This window comes from Homo sapiens, chromosome 1 (genome assembly GCF_000001405.40).
Source record: "Homo sapiens chromosome 1, GRCh38.p14 Primary Assembly".
NCBI lineage: Eukaryota > Metazoa > Chordata > Mammalia > Primates > Hominidae > Homo > Homo sapiens.
Window position 1 is genome coordinate 119599398 of NC_000001.11, and position 16384 is coordinate 119615781.

The 16384-nt window shown below is 46.1% G+C and overlaps 1 pseudogene, besides 1 other annotated feature; it reads left to right on the forward strand.

Moving 5' to 3' along the window:
* HSD3BP5 (hydroxy-delta-5-steroid dehydrogenase, 3 beta, pseudogene 5) lies at positions 1855-10141 on the forward strand (annotated as a pseudogene).
* Positions 5316-6515: an enhancer, noted in NCBI's record as "MED14-independent group 3 enhancer chr1:120147336-120148535 (GRCh37/hg19 assembly coordinates)". NCBI's record gives its function as "activates an origin of replication core promoter dependent on BRD2, BRD4, P300/CBP and CDK7 cofactors, and independent of MED14, by STARR-seq in HCT116 cells {active_cell/tissue: HCT116}" and the evidence as "EXISTENCE:reporter gene assay evidence [ECO:0000049][PMID:35650434]".

A 16384-nucleotide genomic window follows, 5' to 3' on the forward strand; every position in this document is an offset into this window, starting at 1 on the left:
ATGCATCAAAATGTTGGCTGCAGCTGACACAGTGCTTAGAGAGAAACTTACAACTTTAAATGCCTGTAGTGGAAATGAGCAAAGGACTAAAGTCAATTATATATGCTTTTATAATAAGAACCCTGAAAAAAAGGAGTAAAACAACCCCCAAGTTAATAAACATAAGCTGATAATAAAAACAAAGAAAATCATGAAATAGAAAAATGAACAAACAATAGAGACAATCAATGGTCAATCCTTCTGTACTCCATGAACAAAACTTCAGTTCAGAATGATTTTATATTTAAATATATATCCAGAACCACAGAGATCTTAGAAGAATAAATTAAGAAAATATAGGAATAAAATGAAAATTCTGTGGGAATAAAAATCAGAAAGTAGCTGCCTACCAGGGTAAATTGGGGGCAGGGGAGGGAATTAACTAAGAACAGGCAGAAAAGAACTTTCTGCAGTGAAGGAAATGACCAATACATTTTTTGGGTGCTACTTACATGGGCATACATAACTGTCAAGGTTCATCAAACTAAACACGAGCTCTGGGCATTTTAGTGAATATAAATTACACCTGATTACACCTGGATTTTTTTTTTTTTTCTTTTTTGAGACGGAGTCTCACTGTGTCGCCCAGGCTGGAGTGCAGTGGCGCAATCTCAGCTCACTGCAAGCTCCGCCTCCAGGGTTCACGCCATTCTCCTGCCTCAGCCTCCTGAGTAGCTGGGACTACAGGCGCCCACCACCAGGCCCAGCTAAGTTTTTGTATTTTTAGTAGAGATGGGGTTTCACCGTGTTAGCCAGGGTGGTGTTGATCTCCTGAATTCATGATCTGCCTGCCTCGGCCTCCCAAAGTGCTGGGATTACAGGCATGAGCCACTGCGCCTGGCCTCGATTTTTTTAAGTAGAGGAAAGTATCTTGGAGAGCTTATGGTGGTGAAATTTGGGCAGTTCTCAGGTATACGCTCAAGGAGCATTCACAGCATCTTCAGAAATTTGCTGAGAATGGTTTTGTACCCAAAAATATGGGAAAAGTTCAAACATCTATGATAAGAGTCATTGGAGCATACAACCACAAATCCCCACTCCTGTGGTACAGGCCATATCATTAAATGGTTAACACTAGATAGCTTTCCTTCAATGGTGTTCTTCATCTAGGAACCCAGAGCTCTCTGGGGGAAAATTGCAATTGAGGTTTTGGATATATTGAATAGGTAAGTAAGTCACCTCCGTAAAACTTAGTGATTGGAGCTGTCACCATTGCAAATTTCTAAACTTTGCAAGACAGCAGCAACATTTCAAATGACACTCAGAGAGAGGAGATAACGAGCTAATGTGGATTTCCTTCCAAACATATTTACTGCACAAAAGCAAAGTTCACATTACACTTGGAGATTTCTCTCAGCCTAGTTTAAGATCACAGATTGCGGATCCCCGATATCTGGTATCAACTGACCAGTGTCCTGTTAAGGCTAAACCTAAGACTCTTTACTGCATTGCTGCCTTAGAATTGGACTTCTCTTCCTGTTCCTGGGAAGAATTAGAGATATAGACTAAAGGTCACTATTCTTCTGAGAAAAGGGATGCTGGAGGAGGCAGGAGAAATGAGTATGTGGCAGGAGTTCAAGGGGATAAGGGGCAAGTCAGAAGCCACGGAGCATAAAGGCCCAGGGCTCCCTTAGGGGATGAAGTGACAAGCACCCTGACTCTTTTGTCCAGCTTTAACAATCTAACAGTAAGAGCTTCTTCATTTTCTTTCAGCTACTCCTGGCAATGGTGGAGACATGGAATTTTTGCAAAAAAAATGGGGTAGAGGAAAATAAGACATCTGTGTGAGTATATAACCATTTGATCTCTTTTTTTAGCCCTCTCCAGGGTCACCCTAGAATCAGATCTGCTCCCCAGCATCTTCTGTTTCCTGGAGTGTGTTGTCTGCTACTTTGGATTGGCCATGACAGGCTGGAGCTGCCTTGTGACAGGAGCAGGAGGGTTTCTGGGTTAGAGTATCATCCGCCTCTTGGTGGAGGAGAAGGAGCTGAAGGAGATCAGGGCCTTGGACAAGGCCTTCAGACCGGAATTGAGGAAGGAATTTTCTGGTAAGTAAACTTGATTCATGGGTGTGTGGTTCCATTTTAGACACTGCATGGGTGCAGGAAGGTGGACCTTTTCTAGCAAGTTACAGAGAACAGTAGTCAAATCTAAGCCAATCTCACATCGATAGTCTTAAAAAAAAAGAAAGAAAAGAAAATTAAATAGTATAAAATGGCATAGTGTGAAAGATTCTGGATGGGCTATCCAGAGACTGGATTCTGTCCCTGACCCAGAACTTGAGAGGCAACCACTTTGGACACCAGCCCCCTTTTCTTCTCATCTAGAAAATCCCACATCAGTTATTTTTCTTGTCTGCAACTATTTTAAGTTCTGAAGCTTTTTGTCTCGGCAATTGCTTTGCAACATTCACAAAGGACACCATTTACCTGAAGACCTCACCAGTGGGTCCCTGCCTCTCTAGACTTCCCTGAGCTTTGTTTTGTTTTGTAGCAACCTTGGCACCTTTGGTGAAGGCAAAATAAAAGGAAGTGAAGTTATAGATGAGTGTGTAAGTGTGTGTGTTTGTGTGTGTGAGAGAGAGAGAGCAAAAGAGAGAGAAAATGAGGGGGAGAGAAAATCAGAGAGAGAGAATGAGAAAGAGAAAGAATGCATGAGAAAGAGTGAGAGAGAGAGGGAGAGGATAGGAGAAAGAGACAGCATCAGTGAGAGAGAGAGAGCATGCACAAGTGCACAGCACAGAGCAGAGACAGAGTAAGAGGCAGTATAAGGCCGGATATCCCTCTTTTCGATTTTTCATTTATGGCTTTATTTTTTAACCATTTGCTTCTGTTGCTCAATACCCCCAAGAAATTGCAGAATTTGCTGTAGCAACTTCTTGTGCAAATAACTCCATGAGGAAAGTAGAAAAGGAGTCATATCCAACTGGACAATGAACTATCAAGATCCAGAAACATAAAACAACTTGCTAAGACCATCTGGTTAATGTGTAGCAGACCTCAGACCAGAGCTTCATCCAGAAGCATCATCACTTTACTCTGGAGCTGATCCTTGGCAAAGTGGGTCTTCAGTCTCTCCCTTTGCCTCTCTGGGTGCCCAATTCCCTGTCCTCCTCCCCAACCCAGGGGGTGGGTGAACTGTGTGTCTACACCTGGGCTCTGGCTGTGCAAAGAGTCATGCCCTGCCCTCAGAGAAGCCCCTACTTGACAGCACTCAGGGACCACCACACCCAAAATTCTGCTCTTCTTTTGCTCTTTTCTGACCTCTTCCAATTTCCTCCACCCTCTGTTTTAATGGTGTCTTTCATAAACAAATACTAACACAAGACCAAGATGAAATGTTTGTAATCCTTATGTGTCACCAATATTTGCAATCTAACACCTAATACCAGAAAAAAAGCAACGCTCAGCCTAGAGGAATAGTTCTCCTATGGTGAAAAGGTAGGGGATATAATGGATGGGCAGTAGCCTGTATAAAGATAAAAACAGAGAATCCTTTCAGTGTTCTTTCTGTGCCAGGCACTGTGCTACATGTTTTGCATGTGCTGACTCATTTGTTACTCATAGCAACCCTATGAGATTGTTAATATTATTATCCTCCTTTCTCACAGATTAGGAGACAGACATAGAGAGGTTAATTAACTCGTTGAAAGTCTCAGAGTTAGAATATGGCAAAGCTGGATTTGAACCCAGACAGTCTAGTGCGGCATCTGTGCTCTTAAGCAGTAGTTCACCTAGCAGCTTGGGGAATGAGGGAGCTATGGCTCCATCCACAAAGTCCCCTTTCCTGGTCTCTAGATCCCTGTGAACTCATTAAGGAAAAGCCTTTTCTCTTGGCTTTAGACTTCTTCAGCTTTGAAATGGCAATTCCTTTGAGCCAGTCTGTCTGAAGTTGGCAGCAAAGGGGAAGCAGAGGAAGGGAGCAGGAAGTGCAGAGGTGGAAATACAACCAGAGAAAATTCCACTCTCAGGCTGTCACCCATGTCCTCCCCAGCAGCCTCTTCCCTGCCTCCCCCATAGCATGGCCTTCTTGGAGTTGCCTGGCAATAGGAAGGGGCTGGGAGTAGACAAAACATGGCAGAGGCATTAGGAGAGGAAGTGGTCCCGCCTGTATCCCAGGAAGGAATTGCTCCGGTCTTGAATTTTTCGCTCTGAATTTTACTCTCACTGTTCTTTGGCCTTTGTTGCCAATTTCAGTTGAACTGGCTTATTCTTACTCTTTCTCAGAAAAGTTTATTCTAAACAGCCAGTCCTGTACCTGGTGTGCAGGGTACGAGGCTTGGAGGTGGAGTGGGCAAGTTTGAGCCTCTACTAGAAACGCGACCTTTGATCTGTCCCTTAACCTCTCTGAACCTCAGTTTCCTCACCAGTAAAGTGGGACTCAGAAAACCTATCTCATGAGATTGCTGTAAAAGGAAATAAGCAAGCTGTGAGTCATATGCAGATTATAAAGCACAAACAAGTGTAGTGTATTTATCCAAGCTTCATGTACCACAGTGTTCATTGCGTGGGCTAATTCCAGGTGACAACTTTACTGGCAGCATCACTTCTTGTGGATTTCAGAGGAGCGTGAAGACATTAAAGTTTTAACCACTGCCCTCAGCTAGACAGCTGGAATATCAGTTCATTGGTCGCTAACTTTCAGCATTGCTATCTGCTTTTCAAATCTGATGAGTTTTTCATGGAAATTCCTCATTTAAGCCCATCAGCAATTCCCTAGTAATGGCTCCACTCTCCTCCCAATTGCCCAAGGAGGAAACCATAGGGGTGATTTTGTCTTCTTTTTCTCTCAGCCCAGATCCAGTAGGTATCAGGACCTTCAAGGTAAGGTCTGAAATTCAAACCTGTTTTATCTCTCCCCTGCTCTGCTTCCACTGCTGGACCCTGCTTCCAGTCCTCATCGAAACTTTGGCACAGATACTCTGATTAATATCTTAATTACCTTACTTTCTCATATCCCCTATACCAGTCCATTTTATATCCTCAAGCCAATGTTGACTTCCTACATTACAATTCTGCTTCTGTTTCTCTGTCTCTCTTTTTTTATTAACAGGGTTTGGCTGTGCCACCAAGGCTGGAGTGCAGAGGTATGATCTCTGCTCACTGCCACCTTCACCTCCTGGGCCCCATTCATCCTCCTGCTTCAGCCTCCCGAACAGCTGGGACTATGGGCAAGCACCACTACGCCTGGCTAATTTTTGTGTTTTTAGTAGAGACGGGGTTTCACGAGGCTGTCCAGGCTGGTCTTGACCTCCTGGGTGCAAGCAATCTGCCCACCTCAGCCTCCCAAAGTGCTGGAATTACAGGTGTCAGCCACCATGCTCTGCCTGTTTCTCTACTTATTCCAAATATAAATAAGGGATTTTCTTTGACATGGTGCTGGAGACCCAAAATCATGATCCCGCATCACCAGCAGAATTAAATTCAAATTTTCCCTCTTATACCCAACTCTCCACAGTCACCTTACTCTCTTTAAATATTTTAGTGAGTCTCCCATGACTCTAGAAATGCTTATATTCCAAGCACACCTGACAGCTCATTGCTCAGATTACTTTTCTTAAATGAGATGGGGTAGAAACAGATGTTTGCTCTTTCCCAATAAATTGCTACATATTCTGACTTCTGTGTCCCTGTTTACTTGTTCCTTCCATGGAATGTACACCCTCCACTCCAACACCCTGACTCTAGCCATCCTCGAACATCTATGTAACAACATCTTTATCAGTTTCAGAAATCGTTTCAGAAATCGTTCTGATAACCTGACCGGTGTTCACACAGAGCTCCAGAACAAGACCAAGCTGACGGTGCTGGAAGGAGACATTCTGGATGAGTCATGCCTGAAGAGAGCCTGCCAGGACATGTCGGTCATCATCCACACCACCTCCATCATAGACATCATCGGTGTCACTCACAGAGAGTCCATCATGAACATCAATGTGAAACGTACAGTAGCCTGGGGAGGAGATGAAGCAAGGTGGGGAATTAAGGATCACAAAGAAGGACAGGAAGGGAAAAGAAGTCTCTCCACTGAACACCTGCTATGCTCTGGACCAAGTGTCTTTGCTGATCACTACCAACTGGGGGAGTTCAAAGCTGCTATCTTCAGTTTTTTACATGAGGAAACCAGTGCTACAGATGGCAAGTAACTTGTCCAAGGCCCCCCCAGGTAAGTAAGTAAATAGGAGAGTTAGACTTTAAACTCACCCCTGTGTGACTCCAAAGGCTGTGGACACTCTTTCTATAGTGGCTTCAATCAAAAGTCAACTAAATTCCAACTTCAGACTCTTGATATCCCTCTATGGGACAGAATCAAACCTTCCAGGTGCCACCATAGTCATCATTGTGCTACACACAAGTCACCTTGTGCGTAGGCTTATGATAATGAAATGGGAAAAATTCCCTCATCCCCCTCACCAGGCATGCAATGAGGGTGTGGCTTGCTTCTTCAATGCCTCACTGCTCAAACCTCTGTGGGAGCATAGAGACAGGCAGGCTGTGGGACTCCGACACCATAGCAGTGTCTGGGGTGAATGTTTACAGCTCCTGAAGCCTCAGTGGGTGTGTGTTACATGGTGCTCTTTTAGTCTTGCTCTTTTAGTTTTGACATCTACAGGCGGCTTGTTTTAACCAGCTAAATTAGACCCTCTACCTTGTCGGAAGGTCAGAGGGCTTTCTGTATCCTGGGTTCTTGTTTTGGTTACCAGAGAAATTAGATCACACCTGGGCTTGGAGAATGAGTGCCAGGTTTTGTTGAGTGAAGGTAGCTCTCAGCAGCTGGGGGATGCCAGAAGGGGAGGGTTTTCCCATGGAGTTGGCCGTTCAACTGCCCAACTCTTCTCCGACCATCCCAGGGAAACTCCACATCATTCTGCTGGGCGGTGTGTTCCTCCCAACGTCCAGCTGCCCATGTGTTCCTCTGCTGATGTGTGCCTCCACTGATGTGCCCCTCCTGACATCCAGCCCCTTCTATCTTCTTCTGCCAATCTGCTCCTCTCATTGTCAGGCAGTTTGTGTGTGTCCTGCTAGGGTCTTGGGGGTTTTATAGGCAGAGAATTGGGGCATGGCAGGCCAGGGTGGTCTTGGGAAATGCAACATTTGGGCAGAAAATGTTTGTCCTCATCTAGGTCCCTGGGAGTAGAGCCATAGCCAGGGACCACACCCTCCTTCACCCAGCACTTCCCTTCCCCCCTCCCATATCATTTAAAGGGACCATGCTCTTCCCTTCCCAGCACTCCCATATCAAGAACATTCAGAGCCCTCCTGCCCACCTCAAAGAAGTTCTCTCGAGAGAATTAGTAAAGTTGGTCCACAGAGGTCTGTCAGGACTGAATTATCCAGCACATGCTTTCTCACAATATTTTCTTAAGAAAAAGGGTTTCCCAGTGTCCAGAATACACAGTCTCTTCAGCTCGCCACAGGGCCTGCTATTACAGAGCCATTCCCAGCCAGGTGTCCAACATGCACCTTCATTCAATCCTCATCCCTTAAAGTCTTGGTGGTCTTTCCGAATTGCAGCTTTCCAAACTACTTTAAATTCAGACACATTCCCTTAAGGAATCTCGTCATGCAGTCTCACCCTCTGATTCCCAGAGCCCAGTCTCTTCAGCACCACAGCACCCCACCACTGGCCTAGCCCTCCACATTCAGTCTACTCTGACACCTTTTCTAAAGCAACTAATTGCTTTTGGGTCTCCAGCACCATCTCAAAAAAAAAAAACCTTTCCAGTTTCTACTTACGCATACCTTTAAGTACCTCTACAGTGTGAGGAGGGTGTTAAGAGTAACCAGTGTTTCATTTGAATTATTAACTCTCCACAGCTCCCAACAACAAGAAAGGTAAAATGACAGGGGAAGTGTTAGAGGCATCTGTTTCCTAAACCATTATCACTCCAAGACTTAGAAAATATTTCACAATGTTGGTCATTTCCCCCTTGAAGGTAAACTACTTCCGCATTTTCTCTGCCACCAGATTAATTGTTGAAAACATGAGGCTGTCTCTCCAGAAACTCAAATTCCACAGAGACTTTAAACAGGGCCAAGAATAAAAAAAAATAAGAAAAAATAATAATCCTTTGCCTAGGAAATTCCTTCCTTCTTCAAGGGAAGGCACTCCGAACACCTCCATGAGCTACACTTCCACACAGCTCAGGGGAGGCGGCAAGGTCCTCCCAGTACAGGTGTTACCAGCAGAGGGCACACTCCTCTCCCCAGTCCTCCACCAGGCTCCACAGGAAACGCCAGGGCAGGGTTTAAAGGAAGGTTTATCACCCCGACTTTACATAACCAGGTAAACAGAGTCACAGCCAGAATTGGAAGCAGCTTTCCCAGGGAATGCACAATCAGGAAAAGAGTGTGGGTTTCCAGCATCTCCCCACAAGCCACTGTTCGCTCAATGACTCCAGGAATGGTCCTGGTGACAAAGTTTTACCAGTCCACTCAAAATGAGAAAAATACCAGCAATTGCATGTATATTCAACAGTATATTTAAGAGTGTATATTGCTTATATACAACTGTATATGGGTGTCTGTGTGTGTGATGTAAATTCTTCTACTGCCCTTTTTTGCCAAAGAACCAGGACTGTCCATATTCTCAGAGTATATCTTCCTGATTTTTTAGTTTTTCAATAATCTGCCTTTAATGGTATTGATGTCACATTATAATTTTCAACATCCTTACTTGGCAAAATATAAAGTGATAACCCTAGGTCCTTTGCCAAAATTAAACTACACACACACACACACACACAAAAACACACACACACATCCAAACACCCAAAAGTCTAGAAATTCTTGCTCTCCAGAATCCATATGTCAGTTTCTTTTCATTTTGGTGTTTTTCCTATGGCTGTAGCATGGCCCAGTCTCAGTCAGAGCCACAAAAGAATGTACCTGAGTCTGTTATAACCACTGCACTTGGGAGTGGAGATATGTGCACGTGGTTGGGGCCCCTTAGGGATATTTCCTGACACTGACAGAATGCTTTTCGTTGGTAGGTACCCAGCTTCTGTTGGAGGCCTGTGTCCAAGCTACAGTGCCAGTCTTCATCTACACCAGTACCCCAGAGGTAGCCGGGCCCAATTCCTACAAGGAAATCATCCAGAACAGTCACGAAGAAGAGCCTCTGGAAAACACATGGTACGCTCCATACCCACACAGCAAAAAGCTTGCTGAGAAGGCTGTGCTGGCGGCTAATGGGTGGACTCTGAAAAACGGTGGCACCTTGTACACTTGTGCCTTAAGACCAATGTTTATCTATGGGGAAGGAAGCCCAATCCTTTCTGCCGGTATAAATGAGGCCCTAAACAACCATGGGATCCTGTCAAGTTTCAGCAAGTTCTCCAGAGTCAACCCAGTCTATATTGGAAACATGGCCTGGGCCCACATTCTGGCCTTGAGGCCCTGCGGGAGCCCAAGAAGGCCCCAAGTGTCCGAGGACAGTTCTACTACATCTCAGATGACATGCCTCACCAAAGCTATGATAACCTTAATTACATCCTGAGCAAAGAGTTCGGCCTCTGCCTTGATTCTAGATGGAGCCTTCCTTTATCTCTGATGTACTGGATTGGCTTCCTGCTGGAAATAGTGAGCTTCCTGCTGAGGCCAATTTACACCTATCGACACCCTTCAACCACCACAGAGTGACATTGTCAAATAGCGTGTTCACCTTCTCTTACAAGAAGGCTCAGCAAGATCTGGCATATAAGCCACTTTACAGCTGGGAGGAAGCCAAGAAGAATGTACCTGAGTCTGTTAGAACCGTGGAGTGGGTTTCCCTTGTGGACTGGCACAAGGAGACCGTGAAGTCCAAGACTCAGCGATTTAAGGATGACAGAGATGTGCATGTGGGTATTGTTAGGTGATGTCATCAAGCTCCATCCTCCTGGCTTCATACAGAAGGTGACAATGGCACAAGCCCAGGTCCTGTTGTCTCCCTTTCACACAATGCCCAACTTATTGTCTTCCTCATGTCATCAAAACCTGCCCATTCCCTGGCTCAACCAGGAGCTTTCTGTCCTAATCATATACCAGAGGAAATACAATGTGATTTGCTTTTTCCAAATCTCAGTGGCTCATTCTGAACAATTGTGGTCTCTCTCTCTTTTTTTTTTTTTCCTTTGAGACAGAGTCTGGCTCTGTCCCCCAGGCTGGAGTGCAGTGGCGCAATCTCTGCTCACTGCAAGCTCCGCCTCCCAGGTTCACACCATTCTCCTGCCTCAGCCCCCCCGAGCAGCTGGGACTACAGGCACCTGCCACCACGCCCAGCTAATTTTTTGTATTTTTAGTAGAGACGGGGTTTCACCGTGTTAGCCAGGATGGTATCAATCTCCTGACCTCGTGGTCTGCCTGCCTCGGCCTCCCAAAGTGCTGGGATTACAGGCGTGAGCCACCGCGCCCGGCTTGTGGTCTCTTTTAACTTGAGGGTCGCTTTTAACTACTAGAGCTCCATTTCTCCTCTTAAATGAGAAAGGATTTCATTTCTTTTCTTTTAAATCTCCTATTTCTTCACGCAGTTCAATGTAAAGAGCAATAAATGTTTTAATGCCTAACCTGGAGGGAGGCGTGGTTTCTGTTAATACATACTTTCCTTGTTCCTTTTCATTTCCAGGTATCACCATCTTTTACCTAGGAGAGTAGCATGGAGCTGGGGATGAGGGGTGGGCAGAGTAGTGGGAGGGTCAGGAAGGGCGATGAAGACTGAATAAGCTCTACTATGTTTCAGGCGTGTACAACATGACCTACATATGACATATATTCCCTCACTGAATACTCATCAGAAACCTATCACGAGGGGTGACTATTCCCATTTTACCGGTGAGGAAACTTGTTCACAGTCACACTAACTGATTAATGGCTAGGCCTTCTAAAAGGCAGTTGACCTTGAAAGTCCTTATCTTTCCACGGAATCACACAGCCTGAACTGGTCTTGTCAGTGGTACAGCAGAACACTGGAGCATGGGGTGCTGATACTTTGGAGGGCCCCAGCTTTTTTGGGTTACCTCTTTCTTGCCCAGTCGCACGCAGGGGATTCTCTAGAACCCAGGAGAATCCCTGAGGGGCATCTGAAAGAGATTGCACGCCTTTCCTAATGGCCCCGAGCAGGGCTGAAAGAAACAAAAACGCATTCAGCCTCTACCAGCTTCGGTGCCAATTTCCTAGAAGGTCTCTAGAACACTCCTGGCTATATGTGTGTTGGCCATTCTGATCATACATAACCCTGCATTTCACCCTTTCAAATCACACAATGAGCCACACCATGGGTTCCTGGGCAAGTAAAGAAAACAAGTGTGAACTTCTCCCAAAATATACCTTCTACTCAGCCCAAAATTAGAAGTCTATTATCCCACATCCCCAGATTTAACTGCCTCTCTCTCTCCTTTCTCCTCTTCTTTAAATCACATACTTTCTTCCTTTATTCTTCCATATCCTTAGGCTCTTTCTTCCCTCCATCTCCTCTTTAATCACTGGTTCTCTCATTCTTCTCAATTTCCCTGAAGAGAGGAGGCCAATCAAGACAAGTTTGGGGACTTCAGTGATGACACAGTCATTAACCAATCAATGAAAACACACTCAAAAGAAACACTGTCAGGGGCGTCAGGGACAGAGTTGAACTGAAGCAGGTGAGGAGGTTGCTATGGGTCCAGAGTGTGGAGATGGAAGCTGTCTCCCTCTGGACCTTTGTGTATCACAGCCATGATGAGAGTCACATCCAACATCAAAATGACTTCTTTCTTACACAGGAAATTTACAGATCATTAATCAGTTGAATTTGATTACCACAATGGAGTTAGTTTCAGTGTTCATTCTGAAGAGAAAAGGGAACCACATTCTGGCCCAGATGAACAGGTTTCCACCACCTTCAAAACCCCAAGGAACAGATGATCAGCACTAGCATCAGGGGCGAGTGGCTCCAGGCAGTGGGGTAAGGTGAAAAATGCAACACCCCTCCTTCCCCAGCCACCGCACAAAATGCAAGAGCCAGCATCTCTCCAGCTCTTGTAAGGCGTGCGCACGATCCATATGTTAATGCCAAGTACCACGGGAATCAACGGAGGGTGGTGGAATCAGGGACAAGAGCCCTTCCCCTGGTTTTTCAGCCTAGTGAAACCCTACACTTAGGAAACCACCAGGGCAATTTTCACAGGGAAATGAAGGAAAATGACAGATCTCCGACGGGCAGCGAGGGGAGTTCAAAGAAAGAGACGAGGGGGCCGGATGAGTCAACAGTCTCAACTGAACAAGCACAAACGCCTCGCAGTGTTGTGGCCAACAAAATTTGCCATCCCTTCTTACACCTGAGAGTGCCAAGCAGGTAAAGCTCCTGCACCAAGCCCCGCTGCACCTCACGTGGTGCACCACACGGGGGCAGCAAAGGCTAAGAGGGAAGAACAAGGAAGCCTGACCTGGCCGGGATTTTTGGGTCCTTTTTCTCCACCTGGGTGGCTCTGCAGGGTACCTGACAAAGGATTGAATAAAAGCACAGGCAAATGCTCAACCACCGGCTTAAGGGCTAGGTGTATATGAGTACTGAGAATGGAGCTGAGCCGAAGTCACTGGGAAAAGCCACAGGAGCCAGTGGGGCTTGAATGAGGCCTTGAATTCCTCAGTCCAGGCAGTGGGCACAGACCGAGCAGTGGTGCAGAGGAGGATGGAGGGGCATGAGGAGGCCCCTCGCCTTCTGGAAAGCATGTACAGAGGGCAGATGAGAGAGCTCGGGTGCCAGACTAAGCCACAGACTAGACAGGCAGGTTCCAAGGGCCAGGATGGGCCAGAGCCTGTGATGGACTGGTGAGAACCGGCAGGAAAGTGACCATTATGATGTGAAATCCCGTGATTTCTAAATATTAGTGACTAACTCTAAATTTGAAAAAGCAGTGTGAAGATCTGCTCCAGGAGAGGGATGTGTGGGCTAGTGTTCCAACTGTATGTGCAATAATTTATATCTTAAAAAGTGGGTGGCGAGGTGTCAGCAGCAAATCTATTCATTCTTGGCGATAAGTCCCAAATATACATTATTATATCATACTCTCAGCTTTCCTGTATGTTTAACATAGGTTATAATTTTTTAATAAATTAAATTTGGTGGGGAACAAATATGCAAACTAAGAAAACACACTCACAGCCTGGCCCCAGGATTAAGGCCTCCGATTTTCCACTTCTGCTCCCAGTCTAGTGGTCCAGTGCGGGAGATAAAATAGGAGACGTGTTAGGTGCAGTGCACAGTAAATGTGAAGAGTGCCATAAGAAAGGAAAATGCTTCCGGGAGATCCATTCCCATAGGGGATTCATGGAGTCCTTGCATTTGGGCTAAATATCAGAAGATGGGTAGGATTTCAACAGACAGGAATGTGAGGGAAAGTATTCCAGGTGGAGACAATGGAGTCTGCAAAGACCCAGGTGGGAAAGGGGTCACTTTTAGGGAACAATGAGACCAGACCAGAGAGCACCACGCCAAGGCAGAAATGGAAGATACACCTGGAAAGACATGATGGGCACACACAGGATCACCCGGGGCCACCCCTGGAGACGACCTGCCTGCTTCCTTCACTGACCTCAGAGTAGGAGTTCTGTGTCCCCATTAAAGACGACTTGGGCTGGGCACAGTGGTTCACGCCTGTAATCCCAGCACCTTGGGAGGCTGAGGCAGATGGATCACCTGAGGTCAGGGGTTCGAGACCAGCCTGGCCAACATGGCGAAAGCCCGTCTCTACTAAAAATACAAAAAATTAGCCAGGCAAGGTGTTGGCGCCTGTAATCCCAGCTACTTGGGAGTCTGAGGCAGGAGAATTGCTTGAATCCAGGAGGCTGAGGTTTCAGTGAGCCAAGACTGCACTATTGTACTCCAGCCTGGGTAACAGAGTGAGACTCTGTCTCAAAAAAAAAAAAAAAAAAAAAAAAAAAGACAACTTGACATTCAATTACTCCACACATACAACATGCCTCATGTTCTCTCAAAAATTGGAATCTATGGGAAAAGAATGTCTCCTCTAGCTATGAATATTGATGGTGATGCTAAAAGCTGGGACATCATTCACTCTGCAATGGGAATTGTTCAGCTGTCCCTGGAAGATTACCTTGGCAGCACGTTGTAGGATGGACTGAAAGAGATGAAGAGGATACTTGAAGAATCTAGGTAAGAAACGAAGGCCTGATTTATGGGTTGGTAACAAAACAGAATACAGGGGCAACTGCGGCAGGCCTGAGATAGAATGGCCGCTAGTTTAGACAGGACTGGGTATTGGCACAGAATTCCCAAGCACACACTTTCTCAAGCCAGAAACCTGGATGGCAGCCCCCCACTCCGCCCACCTATCATTCAGCGCTACCAACTTTACCTCCACAACACCTCTTGAATGTGTCATCTTCCTCCCTGGTAACATCATTCCTACTCGTACCCCCAACAGGCCTCCTTGTCTTGGAGAGTCACCCATGAAACCTATCCTCAGCAGTGTTGCCAGAGTTCTCTCCAAACTAGTCTCACCATGTCACGCCCTTTCTTAAAACCAACCACGAGGGGGAGCCCCAGGACTGTCAGGGTGAGCCTGTGAGCCTTAGCATAACAGAGGGCCTCTGAAGACCTGAGCCCTGCCTGACACTCCAGACTAATTCTCATCAATCCCTGCCCTATCCCCAGATTCTCCTACTTTGTGCCTCAACAACTTTCCAAACTCAGCGCTTCCTGCATGCAGCATGCTTTTACATCTACCCAGGCCAGTGCACTGCGTTCCTTCGGCTTAGAGGGTGCCAAGCTCTCCTGCCAGTGCATCCTTCCCAGCTCCTTATTCACCATCCAAAGCATCTCTTTTTACAGCCTCCATGCTTTGTGCATAGTACCACTGCCATTAATTTTTCATTTATATATCCTGTTCCCCACCCCTATACTGCCGTGTCCAAAGGACAGTAACTCACCATGTCATCTCTCTGTCCCCAGTGACTGACACAAAATAGACACATGGGCTGATGGATGGAAGGATGAAACACAAGCAAACTCAACTGCTAGGATGGAGACAGGAGGGATGGAGAGTCAGGGAGCAGAATGCTTTGAGTGACAAAGCAAGAAAGAATGCAAAGATGAATTTTCACGGTGTTGATGAACCTGAAGAAGCTGGATCATCATGATGAGAGATGGGAAAGAGATAAGCCACATAGTGGGTATGGTGCTGAGAATGAACTCATTTGTGTGATATGAAGAGTGAGTGGGGTTGTGAGAGGCCCATGAGCAGGGAAAGGGAAAGGCTGATGAAGGCGAAGCCCAGCTGCCAAGGTTATAAAGGGACTGGGAATTAGATCCAAAACCTGAAATGGTGCAAGGCCCAGAGCATTTTTATACTACAAAAAAAGGAAAAGCTGCTTTTGAAAATTGAATTCAGAAGAGAATCTCCCACTCTTAGTTGACTCAAGTGAGGACCACGCAACCTCTCTGTCTACATGTGCTTCTTAAGACATCAAGGGACTCTGGTGGAAATTTGAGGGGCGTTCTTTTTCTTTATCTTGGCCCAAGATCCCACCCAATGGTAATGAGCAGGGAATGGGGTCGGTGATCTGAGGCATGAAAGAGGTTCATTATGAGGAAGTGGAGAGGGAAGGCTGGATGAAAAGAAAGTGGCTTAGCCACTCTGTCCCCAAAGGCAGGGAGCACTGAGGTCAGTTGCAGACTCCAAAACAGTCAGTAATCTGTTCTGGAAACCTGAAGTTCCTTATTGAACAGCGCAATCTTTCCTCAAGACATGGAAGAACCAGCACTGATGCAGTCAGCCCTTCTTCCAAAACAGGTACTGGCGACAGAGAGGTGGGCGTGAGATGGACTCCGGGCCTATTGCCATCTTAGCATGAACGCTGGCCACTGAAGTAGGAATACCCTTCTCACGAGCCTGGCACTAACTCCCTCCTGCACCAGCTGGAGTCTGTCAAATCCCTGGTGTAGCTCTGAGCAGAGCAGCTCTCTGGGCACAAGGCCGGTGAGGTCACCCAGGGCCTGTGCTTGGCTTAAGGGGCTGCCATGGGACCCCACATTTCATTTTGCACTGATCCCTGTAAAATATGCAGTGAATTCTGATTATGGGAACTTCTTTCAGCAGCAGGCAAAACACCTATTGCTGACCTATCGTGGGTAAATGAAAAAAGCTCCCTGGCTCCTACAGGGCAGATCAATGTCTTTGTGGAGTTCAGATTTTAGAGCAAAGAAAGCTTCATCAGGCATGGTGGGGCACACCTGTATTCCCAGCTACTGGGAGGCTGAGGGGGAAGATCACTTGAATCCAGGAATTCAACATCAGACAAGACTTCATCTCTAAAATTTTTATTAAATTGAAGTTAAAGAAGGATCTAGGGACCTTTATTCCAGCTTT